Here is a 27,101-nt window from a genome sequence, read left to right on the forward strand (position 1 = left end):
TATCTCCAACCTTGAAGGAACAGAAGGTGGGACCATCGGCTTTATTTAGAATAAGACAAATATGGATTTAAATCCTGGCTCTACCATGTTTATAGCTGGAGAACTTCCGTATTCAAAATAGTTGTAATAACAGCTAACATTTATTGTTTATCATATATCAAATATTGTACCCGATAATCGATATCATATAATCTTTACAACAACTCCATGGGATAGATTCTATAAATATTCCCATTTTACATCAGGCTTACAGAGATTAAGTAACTTCCCAAGAAAAACACCCAGTATATATGGTGGGGCCTGAATTTGAACCCAGACAATATGATTCCAGAAAGCATCTTCTACAATATTTCAGCATGCTGTCTTTCAAGTTATATAAGGTAGTCACTTGTTCTTCATTAATTTTTAAAATTTATTGAGATACTGATTCATTGATTCAGTCCTTCTAAAAATGTTTAAGGAGCACCTCCTCTATGCGAAAGATCTGAAGAGCTGGGGGACATCAATGGTAATATTGCTGTTGACTTCATAGGGTTTCAAATTTAGAAGGTAAAAGAGATTATCATCAAATAACTCAGCCTCTCCCTACATCAGCACACCATGAACCCTGTTTTCAGATTGACCTTTTCCTGTTGCAGATCAATGTCACTGCTTTGTCTGAAATCCTCCTCCAGGATTCTGGTGGTTTGAAAATACGTCCACAGATTATTCGATATTCCTCTCTTCAAGAAGCGGACCTTAATTCTCCTCTCCTTGATTCTGTCCTGGACTTAGTGACACTTCTAATAAATAGATTGAGGTGGAAATGATAGTGCGTAGGAGGGCAAAAGTGTGGACAGGAGGTAGGAAGTCTCTCCTGAATGAAACTCTAAGAGTTTCATTTGTAATGTGAAATCAGTACAATCTTCAGATGGGGAGCTACAGAAGAGAACCCAAGGACCAGGCCAGGAGGTGTTTAACACCCTTTTTATATAAACGAATACACCCAGATGTACAGCCAGATGCCAATGACACTGGGCTTCTATTTTATTTCTTAACTATGGCATTCCTAGAGAGAAGGGAGGGAATTAAAGGAAGAATTAAAGGAGGTAACTATTTTTAAAGAGCCAAGAGATTCCAACACAGTAACAAAGGTTGCCTCTGTATATTTTTAACTGCAAGAATTACTCTTCCCTAGGAAAAAGAAATTACTGCCATTTCTCAACTGAATTATGGTGTCGCATCTTTGCCCAAGTGCAAATACTTTGGGATCGATACGTTAGAGTTCACGATGGAACAATTTACCCATCCAATTCTAAGGGGGAACGTGAATTAAAGTAGGTATTTTTGTAGGTGAGAGTTTCAGTGAAAATATGCCATCTCATTTCTAGAGCATTGACACTTAATCGTCTAATTATTCCTGGCATGAAAGAAACAAAGTTAACATCCAATCAAGGCAGAAAGAGGAGCCACCAGAGCTCCGAATGAAACAAATGTTTTAAATTTTATAAATAGTTTTGAACTATACCATTTTATTTTGGCTGGCAAACAATAAGATTCTTAACAATGAAATTAGACCCATTGAAGAAACAAAATAGGATCGCAGATGAATGCCAAGTTGTTCAACAAGAAATTACGAAAAACTTGGCAGCAGCTATGACTCTCTAGGGGACACCACAGGTCTCTAAAAGTAAAGTTAGCAGTAACTACTTGGCAATCAGGAAAAACAAGAAGGACTTATACAAGGACAGAGAGCCCTTGGGCTTCATCAGCTTATAATAAATAGCATTTCAAAAGTAGCACTTTTCAGAGATAATATATAAATATTTTAAGTAGCAAATATAGGTGTGGGCTATTTTTTCCAGTACCATGTCCAGAAAATTTGCACATACACATCAAACTCTGCATCTGGGGAATCTGTTTTATTGTGATGTTTGCATTTTTAAACAATGCGCCTGACCTATTTGAGGGTTAATATAACTAAATGGAGCCTGTTTGCTGTTTATTATTTATAGAAGATTCACTTTGGATTAGGGCTTCTCAAGACATTCAAGACATTTGCGTTTGAGCTGCACCGAGAAGTGTTCCCGGATAGCTCCCAGCACCGCGGCAGGCAAGAAAGTGACAAGTGAGAATATAGACCAATCTATGTCCTGCGCTTTCATGAAGGATAAGAGGAAAGTTGGGTTCTTTCCGCTACATAAAGGCCACGGGAACGAGAGAAAAGAAGGGCTTAGCACTGGCCTCTGTCTCATAAGCACAAACTCGGGTTCTTAGAGTACCATAAAGGAAAGCCCTCCAAATCAATGTAAACAGTCCCTCCCTTCAGTTAGGATTTCAATTACATTACACAAAATAAAATATCCACCTTCCATTTACAAGATTTACTTCGAAATCCTTTGCCTGCCTTACAACTGCTAAAGAAAGTAACCTGTGCGTTTCCACATCTCATGATGGATTATCAAACACCTACAAATGGCTCTCGGGGTAAGAAGAAACAAAACTATTCAAGAACTAGTACCAAAATAAGCTCTGCTCTCAAGCCTGTCAGTTTTATGGTCCAATTCTGGACAAAGTTGTCTCCAACTCTGCTGACTCAAATAAACATGATGGGGTGTTTCGTTTTAGCTAAAAAAAAAAAAAAATTGCTAGGCACAGTGGCTCATGCCTGTAATCCCAGCACCTTGGGAGGCCAAGGCAGGCAAATCACTTGAGGTCAGGAGTTCAAGACCAGCCTGGCCAGCATGGTGAAACCCCATCTCTACCAAAAATATAAAAATTAGCCAGGCGTGGTGGCTCATGTCTGTAGTCCCAGCTACTGGGGAGGCTGAGGCAGGAGAATCGCTTGAACTGGGGAGGCAGAGGTTGCAGTGAGCCAAGATCACACCACTGCATTCCAGCCTGGGCAGCAGAGCGAGGCTATCTCAAAATTTTATTTTATTTTATTTTATTTTTATTTATTTTTTTGAGATGGAGTCTTGCTCTGTCGCCCAGGCTGGAGTTCAGTGGTGCGATATCGGCTTACTACAACGTCCACCTCCCGAGCTCAAGCAATTCTTCTGCCTCACCCTCCTGAGTAGCTGGGGCTACAGACGCATGTCACCATGCCTGGCTAATTTTTGTATTTTTAGTAGAGACGTGGTTTCACCATATTGGCCAGGCTGGTCTTGAACTCCCGACCTCGTGATCCATCCGCCTCGGCCTCCCAAAGTGCTGGGATTACAGGCGTGAGCCACTGTGCCTGGCCAAAAATTTTTATTAAAAAACATGTGTTTTCAGTTTCTTTTAGTTGAACAGGTAACAGTGGATAGCAAGAATGGCCCCTCTGTGCATTTTTCTAAGTTTTTGTGTTGAGAATATGAATGTCTCTCAATGGCCATGGGCCTGCTCTTCACCGCATCTCTCTCCTTTTTCATTATGGTAACGAATGCTGGAAGCTCTCCAAAATACAAAGTCAACCTGACAGTGACAAATATGAAGCAAAAGGCCACATGATGATTAAACCATTTACCGACCAATGGAAAAAACAGCCATGATTGACTCAAGAACTCCAAAAGCCAAGTACTCCACTAAGCTGAGGCAGTTGAGAGCCACGGTGTGGCTAACTCCAAGCCAGGCGAGGGTAACTTGCTCAGAGGCACAGCGCTGCCTCCTTATTGCAGACCTATTTACACAAGGGATTACAAAAGAGCTGTATATTTAAGGGTAAGCCACTCCTCCTATACCCCGATGGGGTGGTGCCAGTCAGTAAATATTTTTCAAGAGCCCTTTTAGCCAAATATATCTATACTATTTTTTTCTTTGCTTAAAAATTGCAGAAAATGTAATTCAAATACAGTTTTTTTTTGTTTTTTTTTTTTGAGATGGGGTCTTCCTCTGTAGCCAGGCTGGAGTGCAGTGGCGCGATCTCAGCTCACTGCAACCTCCACCTCCCCGGGTTCAAGCAATTCTCCTGCCTCAGCCTCCCAAGTAGCTGAGATTATAGGCACCCAGCTGGCTGAGACTAAATAAAATGTTTTATGATAATAATCTCCTCTCATTTGTCATTTCCCACTTGATAGATGAAGAAACAGCTTTGAAGAAATCAAACTGCTTGCCCAAGACCACAGAACTAGTCAACAGAAGGTCTGGGATTCAAAGTGAGGTTTTCTGGCGTTGAGTCCAGGTCTTTCTCTAGAAAAGGAAAAGAACAGGGAGAAAAGGGTATACGTTTAGGCTCCAAACCTAGTTCCATTTATTAGCAGCTTTGTCATTTCAGCTTCTTTCATTTCCAAAACAGGGATAATTCGCCCTTTCCTCCCAGGGCTGCCAAGAGAATGCGATAAGATGGCCTTTGTGAAGCTCCGAATACAGGGCAGTGCCTGGCTCACAGCAGGTGCTCAGGAAGTGCCTGATCCCTCTTCCCTGTCTGACTCTAGGGTACCCATTTGTCTCAGTATCTCCACTGCCTTCTCTCCCACTCACACCCAGGCTCGGCAAGAAGGACTCAGCTGCGTAAGGGGCCCAAAGAACAAAGCAGATGTAGGAGCAACAAAGGAGAGGGGGTAAGGGAGGTGGAAACTGTCTTATGCCAAGAGATAACTTAGACTTGTCCTGACTATAATTTGGGTTCTCCACAAAAGAGAGTAAGAGGGAAATTGCAGCTCAAACCCACTGGGGACTCTGAGAGATGAAATATTACATGGCCCAGAGTAATTCCAGCCAAGGGCAGAGGTAGGGTGTATCCACTAAACCTTCATTTGTCATTGGTTGAGGGCTTTCAGTGGCATCAACCCTCTGCTAATTCAGGTTTGTCCTATGCTGGCCAAGGACCTGCAGCCAGAAACAAACAAACAAAAACGAACAAGTCAGGCAGAGAGTTAGTAATGAGCAGCCTTAAGTATAGAGAGGTGAGTTCCCCATAAGATATGGGCAGAACACCGTCAGGGTCTGCCACAGTAACTAAGATTGCTTTCAAGTAGTAAAGAGGTGGATATAAGAGTCATACCTACAGACTCATCCTGAAGCTGGCACTGTGACACATACACTTTTGTGTAGACTGTTGGGATAACCTTGAGCCAAGGAAACAGTGTGTTGGGTTGGGTCATGATTCTGAACCAAAGAGCCATACATAAAAGATATATTAAGCTATCTCTAACTCACAACCATTCAGCCTAGAAAGCTCTTCATACAATTTGGAGGTGAAGATGCACCAACAGGGCCTGAAAGTGGCATGTTGCTCAGCTCCAAATTCATTGCTTTCCCTTGTGTGGGTTTGTATGTAATGTCAGCCCCGTCAAAGCCAGCAGATTTGTGACCCTGGTAAGTGGCAGTCTGATTTATTCTCTAGCCCTTTTCCTTCTTCCACAGCAATCCCCACACAAAAATCCTTCCTTAACTTCCATTCCATCTGCTTGGCTGTGGCTTTCATATCTTTAGTCTTCCCTGAGACTTCTGGAAAGTGAAGAGGCTATTTAAACATAGGTTGTGAGGTAGAAATAAAGTGTTGATGAACTCCAAGCTTAAATTATATAACAATCAATAGTGAGCATTTTATCTAGCATGTAGCAATTAATTCTAATAGCATCTGTTTGCTTACAGACCATCAAAAAGGGACACGATAGTTAATTTAGAAAAGAAAGGGGAAAATGTAGAAAAAAGAGAAAATGTGGCAGTTATTTATAAATTTTTTTGTTGGAGAAATTATAGAAATGCAGAATGGAAAAAATATTTTAAGTGAACTAGCTCTTAGAAAGACCAATTCTGATATCACTTATTTCTGGTTTATTTCAAGACAAATGATTCCATGGCATTAGGAAAACATCTATCATGAATTCTAACCTCTTTTTTTTTTTTTTTAGCAATAGTAAACAATCTGGAAAGTAGAGATCATGTGAGTGTCACGACACATATAAGGTGTTTAAAGTATTTAGAATGGACAAAGTTTTTGAAAATAAAGAGTTTTGTCATAAATTCAGGTATAAAGACAAATGAATCACAGTTTCAAAACACAGATGCAGACTGTTTCATTTAGCACATATATTGACCTGTCACTCAATTATTAAAATATCTTCCCAATTATTAATTACATTTTTACTGGATAAATCACTGATTCAACATTGTTCCCAAGTTGCTATATACCTGACAATGAAATTCAAGGTGAGTCATCCCCAGGTCTCCAAGTCATTGATATGCAAATACAGTGAGGAAGTTCTTGTTTTTGTTTCATATACCCAAGAATCAAGACTTGGCTTAAAATTCTACATTAAGTTCACAGTCCTGACCTGGATATGTGCTAAATTCCAGTTTTAAAATATTTCTGCTTTATTTGTCTACCTACTAATTGTCTTCTTAAAAATGTTTCACCACTTTTATTCTGTGGTCACAAAAAAAAAAATAGAAACAATTCTAAATCATTTATGAATCTATAAACAAATACTGGTATGGTTGTATGCATGGGCTGGAAAACGTATGTTTATTTCCAAGCTCTGTTTGTGGAAACGGCCTATAAGCAATGGCACTACTGTAGTGAACACACCTAGAGCCCACCCAGATTTTGTTTTCTACAAAATCATTTATCCAATGAAAGGAACCAGGGCTCCTTAAATCCAAGGTGAGTGTGGGGTATCTTTGTAGTGCCACAGCATAAGAGACAACTCAAAAAGAGGAAGAGCCATATCAAAAAAAAACATAGGAAATGATAAAGTTTTAAGTTTAGTTAATTGCATGGTATCAATGTCAATTTCTTAGTTTTGGTAATTGTACCATGGTTATGGTACAATTCCCAATGGCCGAAACTGGAACAATTTGAGAAAAAAAAATTAATAGTATCTATAGAACAAAATAAACCTCCATGAATTCATATTGGTATAAATTAATAACTGAATAAATAAAAAATGGAAGAGAAAAGATAGCTCTTATTTTCAGAAGAATTCCAATTACTTAATGTGGAAGAAATAAGAGAAATAGAAAATTACCATTAGAACACCATAGTAAGAATTGTTAGAGGTAAGGCCCACTTATGGATGCTAATATCGGTGGGTGAACATTTGAGTCTCAAGAACTCATAATATTTGATATCACCAAGGGAAAATTAGTAACTTTGCAAGGAAGAAACCCAATAGTTACCATCTTAACCAAGAAACCAAGATAACGTCGTCAGTAATAAGACATATTGCTGTCACACACCTCATCATATGATAGGCTAAGAAGGCGCATCACCTCCAGGGTATTCCTGCCAAAATTATATTACCTCAATGTAATCATGGGTAAACACTGGAAGAATCCAAGTTGAGGAGGCATTCTACAAAGTAACCAATCAGTACTCATTGAAACTGTCAAGGTCATGGAAGTTAAGGCCTGAGGAAATGTCACAGATAGAAGGAGACTAAGGAGACTAAGGAGTCACGACAACTTAATGCAACGTAGGGTCCTGCACTGGGTTCTGGATATTAGTGGAAAAAACCAATGCAATTCAAATACAGTTTTATTTTTGTTTGTTTGTTTGTTTGTTTGTTTGTTTGTTTTTCTGAGATGGGGTCTTCCTCTGTAGCCAGGCTGGAGTGCAGTGGCGTGATCTCGGCTTACTGCAACCTCCACCTCCCGGGTTCAAGCAATTCTCCTGCCTCAGCCTCCCAAGTAGCTGAGATTATAGGCGCCCGCTACCACGCCTGACTAATTGCTGAATTTTTAGTAGAGACAAGGTTTCACCACGTTGACCAGGATGGTCTCAGTCTCCTGACTTCGTGATCCGCCCACCTTGGCCTCCCAATCAAGTACGGTTTTAAGTTCAGTTAATTGTATTGTATCAATGTCAATTTCTTAGTTTTGGCAATTTACCACAATTATGCAAGATATCGAGAGGAAGCTGATAGTGGGGGTGTGTAAGGAAACTCTCTCTGCTACGTTACAACTTTTCTCTAAGTCTGAAATTATTTGAAAATAAAAAGAAAAAAATAGATATAAAATTGAATATAAAATGACAGATGAACATATTTCCCAAAAATAAAAGACCAGTGTTTTGTGGACTGCCTGTCTGTCTCAGTCATGTCCCCAGTGGTGTGTGTTTCTCTATTGTTTTTACTTTGAAAAGCTTTTCATATAGGGCAAAATTTAGATCGCCAAGTTTTTTGTTACACGACTTTAATTAAAAATTTCTGTCAATATCTATCCAGGGAAAACAGTCATATTCTGTATTTAAGAAAACAAACACACTAGCTAGCATTTATTAAGTACTTACTCTCCCAAATGCCATTGTAAGTGTATTAATTCATTTAATCTGCTCAACAACCCTATGAAGCTGACACTGTTATTATTCCTATTTTCACAGATGAGAAACAGTTAAATCACTTGTTTTAACTGATAGTTCCCCAGGTGGTACCTCTTACTTGTACTTTTACACACCAGTGACCCTGCCTGTACAACAATGTAGGGCCACCGTAACAGTTCCAGTCTGCCTCAAGTTTGGGAGACAGAAAAAGACCACAGGATGAGAAATTTGGGGTTCATATTAAAATGATAACAAGGATATTGTTACATGGCATATACTGAACATTAAAAAGCATTCCTGGCTGGGTGCAGTGGCTCATACCTGTAATCCCAGGACTTTGGGAGGCCAAGGCAGGAGATCACTTAAGCCCAGGAGTTCAAGACCAGCCTGGGTGACATAGTGAGACCCTCTCTCTACAAAAAAGTTAAAAATTAGCTAGACATTATAGCACACACTTATGGTCTCAGCTACGTGAAAGGCCGATGTGGGAGGATCACTTGAGCTGGGAAATCAAGGCTGCAGTGAGCTGTGATCACGCCACACACTCCAACCTGGGAAACAGAGAGAGGGAGACTCTGTCTCAAAAAAAAAGAAAAGAAAATTCCTTTCTTCTAAAAAGTTGATGTTACTGAGAATCCTGTTCTCACCTAAATTAGATCCCAAAGCCTGCCAGACAGATTTTAAGAAGTAAAAAAGACAAAACTTACTAAGTAATCAGAGACTTACAAACCTTAATAGGGCTTTGCAAGACACGATGATCTTTCATACAATTATAAATTTAGATAATTCCTCAAGCGTGTGTTACTTAATGAATGGCAACAATTTCTGCTATTAAAGAAAATATATTTAAAGGATTTGTAGAATACATGTTATTTTCTTAATACACCTAAAGTCTATTATGTAAATTCACAGTAGATTTTCTGAAACACACATTATTTACCCAATAGATTAGGTGTTTAGTGAAGAAGCTATTACAGACTATTGGATAAACAGATATTTAAACCATTTTCAATCAATTATTTAAAACACATGCCATTAAAAGTTTATTAGCGTGATTATTTTTAAAGAAATACCACTAAGCTTATTAAAGCAATCAAGGTTCTAGGGAAATAATTAAAATGTAACAATAAGTAAACAATTTGAATTCCAATACATGTAAGGATCACATCACAAGTGCAAGATGTACTTTTATTTTTTTAGTAACTCAAATGTTTAATCTCTCTCCTCAAAACACCAGCTGAATTGGCCTTATTGTGAGCAACATCTTTGGTCAAAATTAGTTTTCTAAAATTGCTGATTTCATACCAAAAGCTTGTGAAAGGTCTTTTTTTTAAGCAAAGGACTCTGTTCTTTTAAACTTGCCCTTATTTATTTCACAACAGAATAACGAGTTTTATTCTGCAGCTTCTCTTCTGGTTTGTGTGTTCATATAGATCAGATCCCATACTACACCCAAGGGAGATGCAGAAGTTTAAATGGAAAGGAAAATAATGAACAAATACCAGAGGTCCACCTTCATGAGCATAAGCCTCGACAATAAATAAGCAAAACAAAGTCATCTGTTATTTGAAAATAAATAAATCAAGTGATGTTGGTTTTCTTGTCGTTATTGTTATTATAAGACAGTATTCCTTCAATTTCAGTAGCTTTTAAGCAAACTGGCAAATGTTTCTAAATGTATTTGCAAACATTAACAACACAAACAAAAGATTTTAATTATATTGTTTAAAGTCTTCAAAAATGTCCTAGACATAAAACTCAAAATTCCTGTACCATGTTTTACCCTCAAAAGAAAATAAGAGTTAAATTAGAAAATCATGAAACAGAGGATTGATAATGAAAATGCCCACAGAAGGCAGGCTGCAATTGTTCTGCCACTGTAATACAATCTCTTCCAGAATAATTTTTCTTTTTATTATTTCATTAAGTTGTATCTCACTAAAGTTCCTCTTAGGATCTCTTGGCAGCACCAAATTTTTCATTGAGAAAACGATAAATCACTGGCCTAAATTACAATTTAATTATAAACGCCTTTGCCTTCTAATGCTGCCTGGGACCTTTTACCCTGCTACATAATTCTAAAAAATGACCCCTGTCATAATTTCCTTCACTAGAATAATATGGAGAGATCTAATCCTGAATCCTGCTGTCTTATAATTTAATATAAGAGGTAATTATTATTCAAAAGATAATGTTGCAGATATTGAAAATATTCTGAAGTTTGAGTCATAAAAAAAAAAGCAGAAGAAATCTTAAGTATGTGGGCGATTTCTATCACTGCACCCGTAAAAAAAGCAAGGAGAAGAGAAGCAAAAGGGTTTTTAATGAAAAAATATTAGAATCTATACACAGCTGATGTTTTGTACTGTGTGAAATGCATTTATATAGTCTTCAAACCATGGTTAGAAATGAAATGTCTCATTTCCCAAATCAAGGAGGTGGAGAGTGCAGTGTTGCCGTGAGCAGCAATTTCTTTAAGTTCAGAGTCTGCTTTAGTACTATGGGTAATAACAACCGCACCCCCCACCCTCCCCGTTCACACTCACTATGGGAGAATTTGGGTGGCAAAAGACTGCCATAGCAAAAGGGGAGGATAGACCCAAGTGACCAAGTAGAAAAGTCCTGAGCTGAAACGTAAGGACACAGCAAAGAGAAGGGGCTGCCTGGGGGCTGCAGGTGTGGGGACATTTGATTGGCAGCATCAGCACAGCCCAGATGGGACACACGGCAGACAATCCTGACCTCCCCAGCAGTGTTTCAGAACTGTGATGAGTGGCGGTGTTTTCTTCCAGGATTCACAGACAGGTAAACAAGAGCAAAGAACAGGTCCCTGTAGGTTTGTGGAACCTTCCTCGAAACTGACATACTCTTTAAGCCCAAATGAAGGGGAATAAAAATCGCATGAGATTAGTGCCCCGAAATATCACCTGTGCAGTTATCGGCCCCTCCACAATGAGCTGGCCACAGCACAGGTGAAAAGTCTGTGGGATTGGTGGAGGATTCCTCGTTATATGTGGCCTGAAAAGATGAGACAGCGCAGAATTCAGGGGTTGGGTCCCATAGATGATTATAAGGTAGGACTTCAGTGGAAAATTCAATTGAATTTTCTAATACCTATACAAAAAGAGGGGAAGACAAAGAGTTTCTTTTAAATTACAGATGTTCTTGAGATCATGTATCTAAGAGCTAATTCCACTGTGCCGAACTGTATGAAATAAAGAGAGTCCCCTTTCACCTTGTTTCCACCAAAAAATTCAAGTGATGGTGAAATGAACCTCATAACTACCTAATGGTGTCGGTATAATTATGGAAGGAACACTTCCATGGCTCAGTAGAGGCAGCGATGATAGCGATGGTGGTGATAGTGAAAGAGGAGAAAGAGCTGAGAGCAAACAGAAAACAAAAAAGTGATTCAAATGGAATGATACCTCTTGCCATCCAATCTTAGACTAGTCAGCAATCCCCTATGCAGCTCAATAAACATCAAACTAAACAGTAATGCAGAGGCTGCTTTCCTGCCTCTTTTGTTTTGCTTTGTTTTGTTTTTGCTTTGGGAGCAGTTCGTTTAAGATGTAATAAATTGGAAGGGTGCCTCCCCCTCCCACTCCTTATCCCTCCATAAATCTCAGGACAGTACAAATGAGGTATGTCTCATTATGGACAGAAAGAAAGGGCCTCCCTAGGCAGGGACATCCATGACTACCATTAAAACAATCATTAAAAATAACAACCCACCTAAAGAAAAAAATGAGTCATTTTTAAAAGGATATATATTAATTAGCCAATAATATTAAAAAATAGGTTTGGTTGGTTCAAATAGGAATTGAATTCCACAATGCAAGAGAAAGCCAAAAAAAAAAAATTGATGTGGGAAGGGGAAGGTTTATAGGATGAAGGTCTATAATTTCCTACAGCACAAGCAGAGAGAGTCATGAAACGGTACCCATAACGAACCAGTAATAAAGAAGTGTGCAGAGATCGGTAGACTGTGCCTACCTGAATCATTTCATGAGTAAGAAAGATTTAAGAGTCCCGGGAGGTGCCTGGCAGACACTGGACTGGACTTTGCAATAACTGAACAGAAGTACATTAAGGTGGACACACAGGTAGATGGATAGGAAAGCACAGACAGGCAATCTTCAGGTTTAAGATGCACTAACAGTTTTCTGCTTCACTGTGGTACGTTTTTGAGGGATCCGAGTCGTAACGAGGCCTGCTGAGTTTGTTAAAAGTAGGGGAATAAAAAGCAAGGTGAAAGAGGGCATTAGGGGGCCCTGTCAACCAAGCCAGTTCTATCTGTGTGGCTAACTCTCATCACGCCCACCTATACTTCAAATTACTTAGCAGTGTTAACATCAGATTGCAAAGTGTAGACATCTGTAGATGTGAACTACGTACAAATTTGTCTCCTAGTAGCAGTCACAAAGAAATGGAAATTACGCAATTTCAGACAAGATTGGGCACGTTCAGGGTGGTATGGCCGTAAACAGAAATTATACAATTTCAGATTGAACAATTCCAGACTGAAAGAGTGAGCACTCTTTGGTCACTTCTACCACATGAATCCCAGTATTAAATAAATACATAAACATCCACCGTTATTAAGTGACTTTCTCCCTGCAACAGTAAGGTTGGAGGGATTAGAAGTCATAGTTCCTGAAGAACGAACCATCATTTGTTCACCATGCAACTGTTCTTCAGGGAATGAACAAGAAATTGCTCTTACAGAGCACCTCAAACACAGAAGAAAGAAAATGCAAGATTAAAAAATAAAATGAGGTTGGACATTTTAAATCGTTTTAAAGTCATTATGGCAACACTTCATAGAGAGAAGCTACTCGCTGGCTAATTTCCAGCATGTTACCCAGACAGCCGCACTGTACTGCACATAAGACACTGCTACCAATGGGCTCACGTATGTCTGTTGTTCCTGCCTTGTCATTTACCCTTAAGAGAAAGAGGAACCATTCTTATTATTTGTCTTAATTTTGGTTGTTCCAGAAGCAGATCTAGGAACAAGGACTTAATTGTAAGTAGTTTATTTTAGGATGATCCAAGAATTCCTGGTAAGGAAGTGGGAGAGTGAGCCAGAGGAGCCGGGGTATAGCCAAGAATGATTTGTGATCAAGCCAGTTACCACTAGAGGAAACTGAACTTCACTCCTGCTAGGGAGCTCTGGGAGCCAGTGTAGAATTGCATCTCCAAGCTGTCCCACCTGAGAGGTGAGGAAGCTCAAGTACTTATTTACTGATTCAGTATTGTGCTGGCAACGGGTTCTCCAGTAGGAGGTCAAGGGAGCCCTGATTTGTAGCATTTGCCAATGACCATGGTGTAAATACTCCCACCATGGCTGATTTCAACCCAGCAACATAACATCATTGAGTATGGAGTTGGGAAGAGAAGTGTAAACACCATTCAATAGTATTTCCGACTCACAAAAGACGTAACCTCAAGACAAGAGCATACAGAATAGTAAAATGTAGTAAAATAATTACAAAGTGATTATTATCTTTGCTTTTAATATAATTTAATTATAAATGTGTGTCACTTAATGTTTAATAATGGCCGTGTTTAGCAACCAATATGCAAAATTCCTGAAAATGTAGCAATCAGAGCATGCAAGCCAGTAAGAGCTGGCTCCAACCCATCATTACACAGATTCGCCTCAGTCACTGGTTGCAGGAGTCTCCCAATGCGGGGGTTCAATCCCTGGCACTTCTGGTCCAGGGTGAGAGGGTGAGAGCAGCAAAGTAAACCCCAAAGGCCAGATAAAGCAGGAGCTGGCCATTGGACCTTGGGCCAGTATACTCTGATGCTGCAAAGGCGAGAAGAAATGGATAAGCCCCAACAGAATTTGCTACTGCCTTCAATTCCTGAGTGGCCATATTTCCTATAAGGCCTTGAAATATTTCCATATTGTTTTCTGTGGTGTTGCATCTTCTCACCTGGAGCAACTGAGTCCTTAGCTAGACATGCATTTCCTCCACGTTTATTAAGTTCTAAACCCATACTCACTGAGTTGCCCTGCCCTGTGCTTTAACATTGAGTGTGATCCAAACAATTCCATCCACTCTCTTCTCTCCACTCCACAAATCATTACTCTTTCTATCTTCCCTGTTTTTGCTGAAGAATTAATGTTTTCCTAGTAAGCCTGCCTCAGAATCCCTGATTTCCAACCCTCATGGACCCATATCCAATTTATGGCCCTATACATTCAGCCTCAGATAGGTTCCTCTCAATTTTTTGCCACAGTTCCTCTGACACTGTAATGGTCCGACTCTTGTTATACCTCACAGAGACTCTTGTAAGGGCCTCCTGAGTGGATTCACAGCTTCTCGTGTCCTCTGCCTCTAAGCCACCCAGAAATCATTTCTGGAGTTGGCCGGACACAGTGACTCACACCTGTAATCCCAGCACTTTGGGAAGCTGAGGTGGGAGGATCGCTTGAGTCCAGGAGTTTGAGACCAGCCTGGACAACATAGTAAGACCTCATCTCTACAAAAATAAACAGAATTAGAAAAAAAGAAAGAAATCGTTGTTGGGTGTGGATGCTCACATCTGTAATCCCAGCACTTTGGGAGGCTGAGGCGGGTGGATCACCTGAGGTCAGGAGTTTGAGACCAACCTGGCCAACATGGTGAAACCCCATCTCTCCTAAAGATACAAAAAATTAGCTGGGTGTCGTGGCAGGCGCCTGTAATCCCAGCTACTCGGGAGGCTGAAGCAGGAGAATCACTTGAACTTGAAAGGTTGCAGCGAGCCTAGATCGCACCACTGCACTCCAGCCTGGGTGACAAGAGCGAAACTCTATCTCAAAAAAAAAAAAAAAAAAGAGAAAAATCATTTCTGATCATTTCTGGAATCATCTTTCATCCATGGCCCTGAAGAGCATCACAGGGGCTACTGCGGAGAAACCTTGAAATAATATTCAAGGCTCTCCGTGGTGTAGCCCAATCTCTCATCACAGCCCTTCCCACCTATTCGCCTTCATGCCCCAGAAGATCTGATGAACTAAACTTGCTGGTCCCATAACAGTCTAGAGCTTTTCTGCCTCTGTGTCTTTGCCAAAGATGTTTTCTTTATGAGAAACATAGTTCCCCATCCTTCAAAAGCCATCTCCTATGCCAATTTTTCAGTGTATCATCTTCCGTTCCCCCACCCTCCACCCAGAACCCTGCTTCAATGAGCAAACTGCTTTGTCACACAGCCTCCTCTGCATTGCTTATTATGACTGCTCCATGAGTTACTTGTCTTCTGCTATTCTTACTTTAACGATTTCTTTCTCCTTTAGGGCCCTGGCAGTGTATTGCACACAGTAGGAGTTTAATATTTGTTGAATCAATGTTTTGTGTTTTTAAATCAAAGAAGCTGGATAAAACTAAATTAGGAGTTAACAAGCTAATTGAGCAGCCAGTATACTTTATTACATAACTCACTATGTCTTGAATTCATCAAAGATTTTTAAATATTTAATTCAACTTATTTGAAGTCATCAGCCAATTTTTACAAGTCCCTTTCTGGCTAACTTCCTCAGTATTTGCTCTTTCCCTGTGATTTAAGCTGAAACCACTCTCCAGCCAGGGTAACCCCTTTACTTGGAGCCAAGCAAAACATGTCTACCCATAGTCTGAGGGAATGATGGTAAATTTACTTAGAAAACAGGCCTTCAGAATAGACTACATAGTTCAAGTCTTAAACATATCAACATGGGTATATTTTTAAAATGTAATGAGGACTGAAAAAAGCAAGTTGTGGATGGAGACCTAGATTATGATAACATTTATGTAACATTAAGTAGGGACATGGATGAAGCTGGAAACCATCATTCTCAGCAAACTATCTCAAGGACAAAAAACCAAGCACCGCATGTTCTCACTCATAGGTGGGAACTGAACAATGAGAACACAGGGACACAGGAAGGGGAACATCACACACCGGGGACTATTGTGGGGTGGGGGGAGGGGGGAGGGATAGCATTAGGAGATATACCTAATGCTAAATGACAAGTTAATGGGTGCAGCACACCAACATGGCACATGTGTACATATGTGACAAACCTGCACGTTGTGCACATGTACCCTAAAACTTAAAGTATAATAATAATAAAATTTAAAAAAAAAAACAGGAGAAACAAAACTACATGCCATTTAAAGTGGCAAACATGGGCAAGAAAAAAAAGTGGAGAATGATAAATAGCAGATTCAGAAGAAGGATTAATTCTTGGGAGACGGAGGAGCGGGGAGGAAGGAACTGAGAGCTTGAAGAGGCACACACAGGAGATTTCCAATGGACTTGAAACTTTTTATATTATAGAAAAAAATGGTCTGAAACAACTGTGGCAAAATATTCAGATTTGGCAGAGCTGGGTGGTAGAGATAGATGTTAATCCCTGTGGTTTTTGTGGTACATTTGAAATGTTTCATAATTTGGGTGTGGTGGGGGGGGGAAGTATTTACAATTATTGGAAGAATTCCCAAATGGTTGTGCATGAGATTTGTAACTTAGCAAACAACCCTTGAGTGACCATATGGCAAGACACAGAAAGTAGAATTACTGGAGAAATCATTGAAGTCTCCGTTTTATCAATACTTTTTGATCTTTTAATCTTACTAAATTGATGACAATCATCTATTTTTAGTTGATTATTCAATATTCACTTTAACTAAATCACTCACTTCTCAATTAAGAATACACCGCTGATGTAAAACAAAAGCAACAAAAACTCAGTGAATTGGAAGGTTAATAACATAAATCCCAAATGATGTTGTATGACACAGGTTCATTAAAGGAAATCTATTACTCCAGAAATAATTACTGGGGGTAAAAGAAATATTTCTCACAAACTCTTCATCTATAGCTTGGTCTTGGCCCAAGAAGAATGTTCTAGTTCATTCTCCTAAGTAGTAGGATTACCATCAGAACTGTTATCACATTCCATTCCCTCAGTGGAATTATAATAAGAAATAAGGAATATTTTTCCTCTACCCTCTGAGAATTCTGTAATTGAATCAATAAAATAAACTCATAACAGGCAGATGAATAGGAGAAGAGGTATACAGATTTATCATGTGCATGGGGGCAGGACAGAAAAAAAAAGTGAATACCCCTAAACACAGTGAGATCTAGAAGCTTATTTATCCTCTTTGTAGGGGACAGGAGCGGGGGATGTAGGTAACTTAGGGGAGAGGAAATCTGGGAAAAGATGAATGGGCTCTCGGAAGAATAGGAGAAAGAGCATAACAAAGTCTGCCTGGACATGGCGCTCACTTTCCGTCTCCTCTCCCATGATACGTATTTATCTTCCCTCGTTGATGAGGTGCCTGGGGAGGGAATCCATGACAATTACTTTCCTTTGGAGGATCTGTAAAGCGGCATATTTTGGGGTGTCATTTCCTGACCTTCTTCGGTACCTATCTCCACAAGGTTGTTTTGGGTTAATACACACTCCCATGTCTACTGCAGCATTATTCACAATGGCCAAGACATGAAATCATCCTAAGAGTCCATCTGCAGATGAAGAAAGAAAGAAAATGCCAGCCTGCACAAGACCCTCATCACTACAGAAAAGAAAAATTAGCCAGGCCTAGTGGGGTGCACCTGTAGTCTCAGCTACTTTGGAGGCTGAGGTGGGAGGATCACTTGAGCTCAGGAGTTGGAGGTTAAAGTGAGCTATGATTGCACCACTGCACTCTAGGCTGTGTGACAGAGAGAGAGAGAGAGAGAGAGAGAGAGATCCTGTCTCTTAAAAAAAAAGAAAAGAAAAAAAGAGAAATGGTCTATATAGACGACAGAACACTATCCAGCCTTAAAAAAGAAGGAAACCCTCTCATTTGCAACAACGTGGATGAACCTGGAGGGTATTATGCTGAGTGAAATAAGCCAGGCACAGAAACACAATACACATGATGTCGCTTATATGTGGAATCTAAAAAAGTCAAACTCATAGAAGTAGAGAGTAGAATGGTGATTACTGGGGGTTGGGGGTGAGGGTTTAGGGCAATGTGGGTCAAAGGATACAAAATTTCAGTTAGGAAGAATAACTTCAAGAGATCTAGTGTACAACATGATGACTATAGACAGTAACAATGTACTGTATCCTACAAAATTGCCAAAAGAGTCGATTTTAAATGTTCTCACCCCACACGAAAAAATGGTAAGTATGTAAAATAACACCTATGTTATTAGGTCAATGGAGCCACTCGATGATGTATACATATTTTAAAACAACAAGTTGTACATCATAAATACATAGGTTTTGGCCGGGCGTGGTGGCTCATGCCTGTAATCCCAGCACTTTGGGAGGCCAAGGTGGGTGGATCACCTGAGGTCAGGAATTCAAGACCAGTCTGGCCAACATGGTGAAGCCTCATCTCTACTAAAAATACAAAAAAATTGGCTGGTGTGGTAGCGGGCGCCTATAATCCCAGCTACTCGGGAGGCTGAGGCAGGAGAATTTCTTGAACCTGGGAGGTGGACGTTGCAGTGAGTTGTGCCATTGCACTCCAGCCTGGGCAACAAGAGCAAAACTCTGTCTCAAAAACAAAACAAAACAAAACAATTAAGAAATAAAAATTAAATAAATGAATGGATGCATTAAGCATTTAAATCAGAGCCTCCCATTTAGCTGTTATACTTATTAAAGATCTGTAAATGGTAACGATCATGTGGTCACTTTAAATGAGACTTAAAGGTTTTAGGAAAAAGCCACAGCCTCCCTCTTACCCATTTTTAACTATGTCCAAAGCCTGTAACAGAAGCTAATTTTCACCCCCAAATCTGTCTTTCTCAGATTCTATTCTTTCGCACCCGTAACTCCAGTAATTACCAAAACCAAAGTTCAGTCATCAACTGTTGTCCACACAGAAGTCGGGGAGAGGTTGCACCGCTTGAGTTTTTACCCCTTCCCTAAAATAAAACTAGGCCACTGCAATGGGTGAGCTTCAGTTCTCTGAACCTCCATGGAATGTAGAGAGAGACCCACACCTGGCTTCCCACACTGACAAAGGTGGCTTTCCAGCAGGATCCGCCAGCACCTGCCTCCCGTTGTCTCTGGCCACAGGCTCACAGCCGCTGTGTCCTGCTCAGTAACTGGGCATCAAACAAGAATAATTGACAGCTTCCCCCTCGACCCCCGGCCTCCCTTCTCGGAGCAGCAGTTTCCCAGGAGTCGCCTTGTACAACCTCACACACTTTATTACTGGTCAATTTGGGTTTCCTGCCCACTTTAAGTGGCCGTGCTGAGGGTCTCCAACTCTCTCTAGCCCTCACTGATCAATATTAACAGTCACTTCCACAGCATTTCCCTGCTACTCAGCAAGGCCAGGGACTGGCTGTAAATTACTGCACAGCCTGGTCATTATACGGAAAGACGTGCTGTAATTCAAAAGTTAGAGCTAATTGTGAAAGGAATTTCTTTCATGCTTTTCAGTACCCAAATCAAAGAAGACGAAAGAACACAGACCTTGTCCATTTGGGGGTTGTTTTATTTAACTGAAGGGTTTAACTGTATCCATTCCCTCTCCCCAAAATGCACTCTCTGTCTGATATTTATGTATATGGGTCTGATATTTCAAGTCCCCACACACAGATGGACCCTCTACTCTCCAGAGAGGTGGGCCAAAAAAAAACCATCCCGTGAAGTTTAAATTGTGCATTTATAGTCAACGCATTCTCGGTATAAGAAAATAAAAAGAAGTCAGGATTTAATAATTATTGGCTGGGACTCCCATAGTAATATTTGTTTATGAGATAAAACTTAACAAGAAACGAACAGTGAGCCTTGTTATAAGCAAATAAGGCAGAGAGAGACTTTATAAATGCAAATCTCTGAATCTGGCAAAATCACTGAATGGAAATGGCCCGCTGCTGGCAGTTGACTCCATATGTTGGAGGTGACAGAGCCAAGGGGTCACCAAGAAGCAGTCTTCTGAAGTGGGGGTGCAGATATATGACTGAGGCAGACACCACTCAGCCAGAAAATCACACTGCACCTCTAGATTTGGAAGCAAAACTGAAAGCAAGTACAGCAGACACAGAGAGAGGAGAAAAAATAAGAGGCTGATGGAAAGAAACAATAATTATTTTCAGACCCAAGAGGGCCTTTCCCCTCCAAAGATGGATTAGGTGTGTCACCTAGAGCCATCTCAGCTGGGCTGTTTTCCTGTTACCTTCCAAGTGTTGCCACAGGAGGCTCAGGAGAGAGCTCTCTCTCTGGCTGGAAGAGATCTCACAGCAAATCTATAAAGGGGCCCTCCAGCCCCACCTACAGCCCTTGAGGCCCTGGCCCTGGCCACACTCTCTGGGAAACCCTGAGCCCAAACAGCCCAGGCAGGAAAGAAGGGGAAGCAAAAGAAAGCAGGAATGCATCAATCACTTGAAATCATCGAGTCACTGAATAAACAACCATTCTGCTCTCTTTATACCTGTGGCTCATACGGAGGATGGAGAGATGAGGGAGGAATGGTGAGGTCTGGTCCTGAGCCTAAGAAAACCCCCGGTTCATCATGGGCCTTATTTTCCCCAGCTTTGTCGCCACCAAGTTTGTGAGGTTGAGCTTGTGCTCAACAAACCAGCTGCAGTTTTAAAAAAAAACGAAGGCCCGTGCCTGGGCAGAGATATCCCAGGCTGCCCTCTGCCACCAAGCTCTGCCTGCCTCCTCGTCAGATGTCCAAGCTGCCCTTCTTCCTTGGGGACAAAGGCTGTCCTCTCCTTGGGGCCTTCTCCTCAGTGGGTTATCAGGGAACATCTCAATTCAAACCCAGGCCTCTGAAATCTCTGACCCTTCCCCAGCCCCTGCCCAGGTTGCAGGCTAAAGTTATCCTTCTCGGGTGTAATTTTCTCCCAGTTTGCTCAGGGAGCACAAGCCCTGTGTGACTCTTGATTTGGAGGGACATGCCTACCTCTTATGAGCCTCTCAGTGCCCATTTGGCTTCTTTGAGCATGGGAATCTGGTGGCCAGAGCAAGGGCAGGTGGCCATGTCTGGAAGCAGCTGGCCTTCCTGAAGGACTTGCCCTCTTTTGTACTGTGGAGCATATTCTCTCCACAGTACAAAAGGAAACCAAGTCAGGGCTGAGAATCAGCATCAGTGTTCTGCAAAATCAGCTTCCTTCACCCTAGGTATTTCTTTGTTTTCACCGTAAGAGGGGGGATATATAATCTTGGCTGCCCAGAAAACACAACATAAAGGACACCCCAGTTTGTGGCCCAGCAATAGGCAATAACTTTGCCTCATGCTGGAGAGACTACAGGCCATTTGCGCTAGCTTGAGGTCCTATGTACATTGCAGGGTGGGCTGTCTGCTGATGGGGGCTCCGCATTGCTCAGAGCCCTGGACTTTCCCATATGCAGGAGCTGGCCCACCAGCCTGGTAATGGGCTGATCTCCAGCTCTGGAACCTGGAGTGGAATTAGACACCAGCCACCCCATGCTCTCTTTTGTTTAGAAAAAGGAGAGAAAGAGAGAGAGAGTGAAAAATAAAATCCCCAATCGTTTAGTACAAGTCATTTTACATGCTGGGATAATGAAGTATAAAAATGCCTTCAAAGAACTGATTTCCTACTTTTAACTCACTACCAGCCAAGCTTTTTGTGAGGCCTCTCCGGAACATGCATTCCCGTCCCACTCAAACAAAAGAGCTGCGAATTCATTAAACTATTTAATTATGCCTTTTTATTTTTCTCCATTAGCAAGTCCTACCAGCACAAAGTAAATAAAGCCACCGTGGTCTTTCCCCAGCAGACACACTGACTGTTTTTATTCTTTATTCAGTTTATAATATAAAGGGCTATTTTTCCTCCTCCTCCTATTCTTGGCGAGTTTCCTAGCACAAACCCTGCAAATAGAAGCACCCAACTGTCCATGCAATGCATGAAGCTGGCGCAGCAGCATTCGGAATTGCAGGCACATACTCCAGACAGCTTTCAAAGTACCCGCAGCCAACGGCAGCCAAACAGCACTTTACAGCCAGGCACAGAAAAGATATTAGCTTTTTTTTTTTTTTTATACTCTAGTAAATTTGCTTTTTACATCTATTTCTTTTCAGAAGGGCTTGTTATTGAGCTTACTGTCCACAAATTCCATTGATCTCAGGCTGTGACTCAATCCATATGCTCACGCTTTGACACCAGCACAGCAAGCGAGCGATACAAATCCTGTTCAGGCTACAAACTTATTGATTTTATAGATTTCCCCCAAAGTTGTGATAATGATATATCATTGTTAAATTTGGTAGAACAAACTGCTTTCCCAATCTGTCAATGCGAGCATGAAAACCAATTCACAGCCTTGTTTAGAAGGCTTTCGCATCAGAAGAATAAGTACAGCCAGAGGAAGCAGATCACCGATACCCAGCGGCTGGCACCAGCTTGATGTATGATCCCTTCCTCACTGCCCTTTTCTGACCCGCGGCACACTGGGCTGCCAGACTCGTACTTACTGGCTACAATTATCCACAGTGATTCCTCCCTAGGATGCTCAGTATTAATTATTAACAACTGGGAGCATGCTGCTTGGGTGACCCACATCAGTAGGTTTTAAAAGACAATTTTGGTAATTTTCATACGCTATTCAGATGCAGTTGGATACATTAGGATCCTGGGCTTATTGACTTTAATAGGTCAATTTTTTTTTCCTGCAATTGTTCGCTCTCCCCCATCTTTAGGAAGCAAGGCAGCTGCTTCCAGCAGGGGGCAGATGTCAGACAACATTTCCCTTGGAAAGGACACATCTCCATTCCCAAGCACGGGTTAGGGGACTCCATTTGCCTCAACTTCAGATGCTTTCTCTACAGAGACTGGCTAGATCTGGGAGTCCTAGCAGCATGGTAGGATTCCACTAGCTTTATGTCTTCCTAAGGTATTTGTGTCCTCAAGTCTCCATCCAGCCCAGTGTCCTCCGAATCACCCCATCTCCCGATTCTCTTCCTGCCTGGGTATTCAAATGCTTTATGGCATGGAGACGTCTGCACGTGTGTGTTAACATTTCAACATGTGTGTTAGCATCTATTCCCAACTTCCTGATCAGCTAGAACATGCTTTCCACCATTACTGTGTGGTTTCCTTGGGTCATGAAGACTACGATTATTTTTGATGTTTTCCAAAATATCCACTTCCCCTCCTTTCCAAAACTTTAGTCTTGGTGTAGTCTCCCTTTTGTCTCATCATCTGTTCCTTGCTGCTTTTCACTTTCCTGCTCAGAAATTCATACCAGCTCCTCTCACATGGTAATCTATTAGTCCTGCTCCCGCTCATTTAAACAAAAACAGGTTAACAAAGCAACTGCAAACTATGCTAGAGTCTCATCTCCTCGGATAAAGTCCGGGTCTCTCTCTCTCTGAGAATCGTTCATTGCCTTTTAAAAATGCTTCCTTTTTCTCTGCCCTCCCTACCCCCATGAAGTTGCAGCTACCTCTCATTTGAGCATATAGCATCTGCTCCCAATCTGCCTGCTCGGGTCAAGCTGGATGACTAGAAATTGTACTTGTGTCACATGATGGTTCTCGGCTAAAATTCTGACTGCCGGCATCCCTGCAGTTTCATTTCCCATCACGTGCCTGCTTGACCTCAACATGGGTTGAGACCTAGGTTTCTTAGAGCCTCATGCCCCACAGGAAATTGACCTCACTGAAGAGCATCAAAGTGAAGAGCATCCAAATGAAATCAAGCATGCTGGCATAGTATGGCTATGAACAGACCCAGTTGACCGTCTCATTCAATTACCACACGGACGTAGACTTGCGTATCTTCTTTAATGCCAACAATAATTTACATCCTTATAACAACTTCATGCTGGCAATGGATTTTCATATAACTTCCTCACAACCTGTGAGAGAGCTTATGGAGGTGTCACCATCCCATTTTATAGATGAAGACACTGAGGCCGAAACTTATGATCATCAAGTTAGCAAGTACCACAGCTGGTCTTTTTTTTTTTTTTTTTTTTTTTTTTTTGAGACAGAGTCTCGCTATGTTGCCCAGGCTGGAATGCAATGGTGCGATCTCGGCTCTCTGCAACCTCTGCCTCCAGGGTTCAAGCAATTCTCTGCCTCAGCCCCCCAAGTAGCTGCGATTACAGGTGCCCGCCACCATGCCCTGCTAATTTTTTTGTACTTTTAGTTGAGTCGGGGTTTCACCATCTTGGCCAGGCTGGTCTTGAACTCCTGACGTCGTGATCCACCCACCTCAGGCTCCCAAAGTGCTGGGATTACAGGCATGAGCCACTGTGCCTGGCCCATAGCTAGTCTTTAAAGCTCTAGGTCTCCTGGCTCCAAATCCAGTGGTCTTTCTAACAGCATATTTCCTCTACATCTTAATTTTTTAAACAACCACCTGCATAAAACCTTTGCATTCCAGGTGCTCCATTTCCCTAACCCTACACATTGTTTGAAAAATTATTTTATTGACGTCTTTTGTCTATTTCCATCAACTTGTGTTTCATGGCAGTAATTAAGTTTTACGCTCCTCCTGCTAAGAAAAAAAGTAAATATAGCCATGGCCCACAAGAACCATCATTATGGAAATGACTTCCATTTCTTTTGCAGTTTAGGGGAGGGAATGGGTGGCTGGGAAGGAGTCATAAACTTACAGAAAAAAAAAATGTCCCTCAAGGGATTTGTGATATATTATCTTTTCAAAGATCACTAAAATGAGAGATTTGGAACGTAAAGAAAATTCTAACACAGCCCAAATATACAAGATTGTTTACAGCCACAGATTCAGCATGTAATTTCCACAGCCAGGATAAGGGAGTTTCTAGAAAAGCACCACAACAATTAAGCTGCTGGCCAGGAAATCGCAATTAAAAAGACGGGCTATTTTCCTTAATCCACCCCTTGCAACTTCCAAAGGATTTTCTAGGGTTTCTAGGACTCAGGACCTCCCACCTCTCAAGGACAGATGGAAGGATGCACCTAAGAGAACAATTAAAATTTTATGATGAGTAAGTTCCTTCTCCCCCAGAATTCTTACTCTGAACACACACACACACACACACACACACACACACACACACGCATGCACGCACGCACAGACCTAACCGCCCTCCTGTTCATAATTGAACCGGTCCGAGCGTGCAGGGCCTTCACACAGAGTGATGGCTTCCCCTGTCTTCTGCATTTGTTCGGCTCCTTTGGGAGGAGCAATTTACAGAAAGCATTATCGATTTTTGCCATAATAGGTACAGAGATGCCTCACCGTCCCTACTCAGCCGGCTCGCTCTCTGCATCACAACTGTCAGGCCAGTTTGTGAAGCCCCGTCATTATTTTTTTTCAAGTAAATCCATCATAAGGTTGGGGTAGGGGGAGGTAAGGGAAGCGATGAAAATAAAATTATTTTCACCTTGCCATATGAAAGAATGTTCACATCCTTCTTTGGAAATGAGTGCAAGCGCCATAGAACAGCAGAAAAAATAAAAGAAGAAAAGGAAATTTGCAGTATCTCAAGAAGAAAACCAGATGAAAGACAGAGATGTAGTTGGGACCTACCTGAACTATTCTGAACGCAGTTATACCTGGGCTCTAGCTTGCTGTCACTTCTCCCCAGGGGGCTAATGCACCTGCAGATATTGTCTTTAGTGTGGAATAAAAAGAAACAGGACATGCATTTATTTGTTTGCTTATTTATTTACTTACTTGTATGTGTGCATCACAGGATGGAATCTGCCCTGAAACTCTTTTCTCCAAAGACCACCCACCTGTAACAGAGACCACCGATTCCCATTTGACTTATTCCCTTTGTGCCAGAAGTTTCCTGATACTCCCTGCCCCAGTGCCCTCCTCACTGGTCACTGGAGGCCACCACTGTCTGGTTACTAATCAGCATGTGAATGTAAATATACCTAACCTCAAATATTTCTTAAGATGAGAACAAGCCTCTTAGAAATCACATGGAAAACTACACTAAATGCATTTTTGACGCTCAAACAAGCCTTTTGATATTCATGTCCCCACTTGCTTGGTCCTTGGTGAGCTCTTCAAGCAGGTTGCTAGGCTCCGAGGAGGGTTGGAGCTTACTCTCCTTCATCTCCGAGTTCGGACCTCTCTCTTCCCCCCAGTTCCTAAACGCAGCCTTGTTTGAGGCTTAGAAGACTTAATCCAAGAATTGGCTCTAGATCTCATTCCCAGTTCCCCAGTTCATTAGCCATGAAAAGTGATAGCCGCTTAAGATTTTTACGAGACATTGTTCCAGAGGCGGACATTGTGCAGTTCCAGAACTGCACAATTACCCACACTTTGCATGCAGCCCTCCAGCCTGTGGCTCTGGTGTAAAGAGCACAACAGCCATCACTATGCAGAATGAAAAGCGGCCTGTTTGCTCTTGGTTACAGGCGAGGATGTGGTGATGTTTTGTTCCAAGTGGTGCTTCCTTGAAAGGATGTTTATTCTCATACAAATTCAAACCCTAACGTGTTATCTTTTCTCCACTCCTCCCAGCCCCTCCATCTCTCCATTCTCCAAATACAAGAACCTACTCTTAAAAGCACACAAGTGAGCTGGGCACGGTGGCTCACGCCTGTAATCCCAACACTTTGGGAAGCCAAAGGGGGTAGATGACTTGAGGCCAGGAACTCGCGACAAGCCTGGCCAACATGGCAAAACCCTGTCTCTACAAATAACATAAAAATTAGCCGGGCGTGGTGGCAGGCACCTGTAATCCCAGCTACTCGGGAGGCTGAGGCAGAAGAATCACTTGAACCCAGGAGGTGGAAGTTGCAGTGAGCCAAGATCTTGCCATCACACTCCAGCCTGGGTGAAAGAGCGAGACTCTGTCTCAAAAAATAAAACTAAATAAAAACAACAACAAGCACACAAGTCTCTCCCTCCCTGCTCCTGTTTGGCAGGGACATTTGCAAAGGGACAAATTTAGAGGGACTAAAAT

The 27,101-nt window shown here is 41.5% G+C and overlaps 1 protein-coding gene across 1 annotated transcript in view, besides 1 other annotated feature; it reads right to left on the reverse strand.

Moving 5' to 3' along the window:
- ZFHX3 (zinc finger homeobox 3) overlaps positions 1-27,101 on the reverse strand; it is a 1,109,046-nt gene that overhangs the window by 908,531 nt on the left and 173,414 nt on the right. The window lies entirely within an intron of this gene.
- Positions 22,775-23,069: an enhancer, noted in NCBI's record as "tiled region #9376; K562 Activating non-DNase unmatched - State 20:ReprD, and HepG2 Activating non-DNase unmatched - State 12:CtcfO". NCBI's record gives its function as "activates a minimal TATA promoter and a strong SV40 promoter by Sharpr-MPRA in K562 cells, with weaker activity in HepG2 cells {active_cell/tissue: K562 | HepG2}" and the evidence as "EXISTENCE:reporter gene assay evidence [ECO:0000049][PMID:27701403]".

Source organism: Homo sapiens, chromosome 16 (assembly GCF_000001405.40).
Source record: "Homo sapiens chromosome 16, GRCh38.p14 Primary Assembly".
Lineage (NCBI taxonomy): Eukaryota > Metazoa > Chordata > Mammalia > Primates > Hominidae > Homo > Homo sapiens.